This window comes from Homo sapiens, chromosome 12 (assembly GCF_000001405.40).
Source record: "Homo sapiens chromosome 12, GRCh38.p14 Primary Assembly".
Classification (NCBI taxonomy): Eukaryota; Metazoa; Chordata; class Mammalia; order Primates; family Hominidae; genus Homo; species Homo sapiens.
In genome coordinates this window covers 55,842,937-55,848,054 of record NC_000012.12, presented here as the reverse complement: position 1 = coordinate 55,848,054, position 5,118 = coordinate 55,842,937, and positions in this window count along the sequence as shown.

The window sequence follows — 5,118 nt, the reverse complement described above, 5'->3', positions numbered from 1 at the left end:
TTCCAGCTGTGCACAGTCCTGACCATCACTTCCCATACGGCTTCTAGGAACTTATGAGTAATTAAAAAAGTGTGTGTGTATGTCTGTGTTTGTGGGTATGTAGGGGAGTCCTCCTAAAAACAGAGGTTTCCAGGGTAACAGCTTAAAAATTCAACCCCACTCTGCCAAAGAAAGCTCCCTATGTCCTGACTCCCTGAGGGGGAAACAGGTCAGAGGCTAACACCACCAACTCCCACATTTATCCAGGTCAAGGGCAAAGTCGGGGCCAGCCCTAACTTGGTTACAGCTCATGTTTTTCTCACCTCCAGTTTCCAGTTTCAGGCTCCAGACTTGCCCTTCTACCTGCCCTCCAGGATTCCCCTTTCTTCTTTCCCCAGCTTCCCTGCCCACTGCCTCCACAGGGTAAGGGTGGCTGTCAGAGGGGGTGGGCGATAGCTTTGAGATTAGCTTCTGCTGGGCTTAGAAATCTCTACAAACTTTTGCCTTCCACCCATAACCCCATGGCCCCTGATCATTAGAAAATACTCTCAGAGGTCTACTCTACTCCCACTTGCTATAGTTTAAAATATTGTCATTAAAAATATTTCTGTAAAACTCTTTTGCCACAATTTGTGGACAGAGAGGGAAACCAACTTGCAGGAAGGGAGCAAGCAAGACAAAGAACCCATTTTTTTCTCTCAGATCAAGTTCTCTTTTTGGGGCAGGCAAGCCACATGTCCTAACCCTTCGCACACACGTCCACATCTCCCCCAGTGAGAGATGACAAATTTAGAGATGACAAAAAAGAGCTGGGTCAGCCCGGCTCAGGGGGTAGGAGCTGGTGGAGGGGGTGGTCATGATGCTGTGCTGGCAACAATTAGTCATCCAATCCTTGCACATGTGCCCAGCCTGCAGCTCCAGACTCTAGGGGCTTTTGTTTGGGTGCCTGTGGGAACTCTGGGAGACTGAAGAGTGCTGAGCAAAGATGGCAGCTTTAGAGCCTGCTCCAGGCTCTGCTGCATCCTAGCTATGTGACCTGAAGCAACTTATTAGAGACTCAGTTTCTCTTTCTGTAAAAAGATGATAATACTGGCCAGGTGCGGTGGCTCACGCCTGTAATCCCAGCACTTTGGGAGGCCAAGGGAGGTGGATCACTTGAGCTCAGGAGTTTGAGACCAGCCTGGCCAACACAGCAAAATCCCATCTCTACTAAAAGTACAAAAATTAGCTGGGTGTGGTGGCACGCGCCTGTAATCCCAGCTATTCGGGTGGCTGAGGCAGGAGAATTGCTTGAACCCGGGAGGCAGAGGTTGCAGTGAGCCGAGATTGCGCCACTGCACTCCAGCCTGGGCTACAGAGTGAGATTCAGTCTCAGAAAAGGAGTAAAAAAGATGATAATACTGGCTGAAGGGTTGTTGTTAAAATTTAAATGAAGTTATCTATTTGGCAGCTTTTACTTTTGATTTATTCTCTCTCTCCTGGCTCCTAAGTTGCTAGAATATAGTTCCACCCCCAGGCCTTCTGAGGCCGGAGTTAGTACCCACCCTCACCTTATGATAACTGCCATCTCTCTCCCTAACACACTAAATATATATATATATATATACACACACATATATATACACACACACACTTTTTTTTTCTGGTTAGGCACAGTGGCTCACACGTATAATCACAGCATTTTGGGAGGCCGAGGTGGGCCGATCACTTGAGCCCAAGACCAGCCTGAGCACCATAGGAAACCCGCCTCCCCCACCCCCCACACTCTCTACAAAAAATACAAAAATTAGCTGGGCTGGGTGGTGTGTGCCTGTAGCCCCAGTTATGCAGGAGGCTGAGGTGGGAGGATTGCTTGAGCCCAGAAGGCGAAGGTTGCAGCGAGCCAGGATTATTGTGCCACTGTTTTCCAGCCTGGGAGACCCAAAAAAAAATTTTTTTTTCTTTTTTTCCTTACATGAGGTTTCTAAGGGGAGGGAGTAATTTGCTATAACATTCATTTTACTTTACTCCTGTCCCTTGCATCCTCCTTGTCTGTCTCTTCCCCACCCCTCCCCTCACCTCTCCTCCATTATCCTCTCTGGCTCCCAAAGCTTTCTCCTCCCTCCCAGACAGTCTCTAGGGGCTGAGGCCAGGCAGGCGGAGCTGGGTGAGCTCAGTTCCACAGACAGTTTCAAAGAAATGCATCAAAATGTTACTAGTGGTTCTCTTTTGGGTAGAATTTACTAGTGGTTTTCATTTTCTTCCTTGTTTGTTTTGGTATTTTCTAATACCAAATATTATAATGAATGATGAATAACTTATTCAGGAAAAAAACACAAAACATTAATTTTAAAAATCGTAATTAATTTTCAATTGGCGCATGTTCTGTTCTCAAAAGGAGAAAGACTGGAAAGGGGGTAGAAAGAGAGGAGGAAGAGCCCCGCAGGGGACTAAGCAGGAACTTGTCCCCAAACTCCATCATTTCCTGGGTGCATCAGCCTTGGTGATGGGCCCTGTCACTCATCGCTCAGAGGCTTTCTGTCCTTCCTTGCCTGTCACTGGTCACTTGAGACTTAGTCACCCAATGGTTACCAGTTGGGTGGTGGATGGGCCAGACGGACCAGCATCATTGAGGGCAGCAATATGGATCAGGAGCATCCCCCACCTTGATCCTGGGCTGTGAGGTGTTCCCTTGTGGCCTCCCAGCCCTTCTGAGAACATAAAAGTTCAGTTACCTTTTCCCCCATTCCTATGTCTACTTCACTGTGCTTTTGAACAATATGAAAATGTTGTATGATGTGTAACTGATGGTGGAGCCTTCAGGGGTCCTAGTTACTTAAAGAACAAAGCTCTAAGTGTCAGTGTGGTGTACGGAAAGAGCATGAGTTATAGAGTCAGCAGAGGGATTTAAATAAGGTCAGGCCAGTTGGGAGTTCCATGTTCTTGGTCAAATTTCCCTTTCTGAGTATCTATTTCCTCCTACAAAAAGTGGCCGGAATAATTTTCCCCTCACCAGATGGCTGTGAGAACTATAGGAGGTAATATATAAAGCATGTAATACATAGTAGCTTTTTATTTATTTATTTATTTATTTTTTTTTTGTGGGGGGACAGAGTCTCGCTCTGTCGCCCAGGATGGAGTGCAGTGGTGCGATCTCAGCTCACTGCAACCTCTGTCTCCCGGATTCAAGCGATTCTCCTGCCTCAGCCTCCTGAGTAGCTGGGATTACAGGCGCGTGCCACCACGCCTGGCTAATTTTTGTATTTTTAGTAGAGACGGGGTTTCACCATGTTGGTCAGGCTGGTCTCAAACTCTTGACCTCAGGTGATCCACCCACCTCGGCCTCCGAAAGTGCTGGGATTACAAGTGTGAGTCACCATGCCCGGACTTTAATTCCTTTAATTTTTTATTTCCATAGGTTTTTGGGGAACAGGTGGTATTTGGTTACATAAATTCTTTAGTGTTTAGTGGTGATTTGTGAGATTTTGGTTCACCCATCACCCAATAATAGGTATTTTTATTTTAATTAATTAACTAATTAACTAATTTTGAGACAGAGTCTCATTCTGTCACCAGGCTGGAGTACAGTGGCGCGATCTCAGCTCACTGCAATCTCCGCCTCCCCAGTTCAAGCAATTCTCCTGCCTCAGTCTCCCGAGTAGCTGGGATTACAGGCGCATGCCATCACGCCTGGCTAATTTTTGTATTTTTAGTAGAGACAAGATTTTGCTATGTTGGCCAGGCTAGTCTCAAACTCCTGACCTCATGGTCCGCCCACCTCAGCCTCCGAAAGTGCTGGGATTACAGACGTGAGCCACTGCTCCCGTCCGGTATTTTTAAATGTAAGTTTTTCTTCTTTTCCTTGCATAGCATTTAAGGCCCTCTCCAAATTCTGTCTCCCAACCACTTTCCCACCCTGGTCATTCTTTGACAGTGATTTATTAAGCACAGCCTCGAAAGCATGGAGGTGGCCTGGGGTAGGCACTCGGGCTTCAGTGGTGAATGAAGCAGTCGTGACCCTTCTGACTTACTGAGTACAGCAGTCTCTCAGCTCTGCACTTTTACTCAAGACCTGCACTGTCTGTCTCTCAGTATCCTTTTACCCTATCAATTCTTTTTTTTTTTGAGATGGAGTTTTTGCTCTGTTGCCCAGGCTGGAGTGCAATGGTGTGATCTCAGCTCACTGCAACCTCTGCCTCCTGGGTTCACGTGATTCTCCTGCCTCAGCCTGCCGAGTAGCTGGGATTACAGGCGCCCGCCACCATACCTGGCTAATTTTTGTATTTTTAGTAGAAACAAGGTTTCACCATGTTGGTCAGGCTGGTTTCGAACTCTTGATCTCAAGTGATTCACCCACCTCAGCCTTTCAAAGTGCTAGGATTACAGGAGCGAGCCACCATGCCTGGCCTTACCCCATCAATTCTTAGCTGGCCTTCAAAGCCCATCTCAAAGCCTGACTTCTCAGCAAACCTCCCCCCAGCCCCAAGCCCCTTAGGGTGAATCACCTCTGGCCTGGCACGCTGGCTCCCCTCTTCCCAGGTGTCTGGATCTGCCTCACTGGATCCGTAAGCTCCCTGAGGGTAGGCTCTGGGCCCTTTACTTATTTGTGCCCTTGTTAAGTCCCACCTACACCCACATATTCCAGGCTCATTAGATTCTTGAAATAATGACTTTTTATTAAAGCAGACATAAGTAGGTTGCAGGAGCATCTATATTCCCAACTTGGTCTTGGGTACAAAGAAACTGAGACTTCACGCTTGACTCCTTCACCTGAAACCCAAGCTACCTCAGCTGTTTCCTACCTCTCAGCTTATTCTAGGGAGACTCAAAGGTAGGGGCGGAGTGATTTGCTGGCCCAGGGTCCCTGAGGCACATTGATGTCTAATTCCAGGGGATGTCCATGATCCCTATCTCTAGTCTCTCCAGAGATTCTGGTTCTCGTCCTGCCTGGATGCTCACCCTAGGGCAGTATGAAGTTTTTCCATCTCCAGCAGAGGACTCTGAGGGAAGCGATTGGGAACTCTCTTTGGCTTCCGCTCTCTGGTAGGGCAAGGGTTAATGGTGAATTGCAACATATCTCTTGGCTGAGTCACCTCCCTCTGCCTCTCCCCCAAATTCCCCTCAGCTGTTATAAAGAGGACTAGAGGCTGGAGAGTAAAA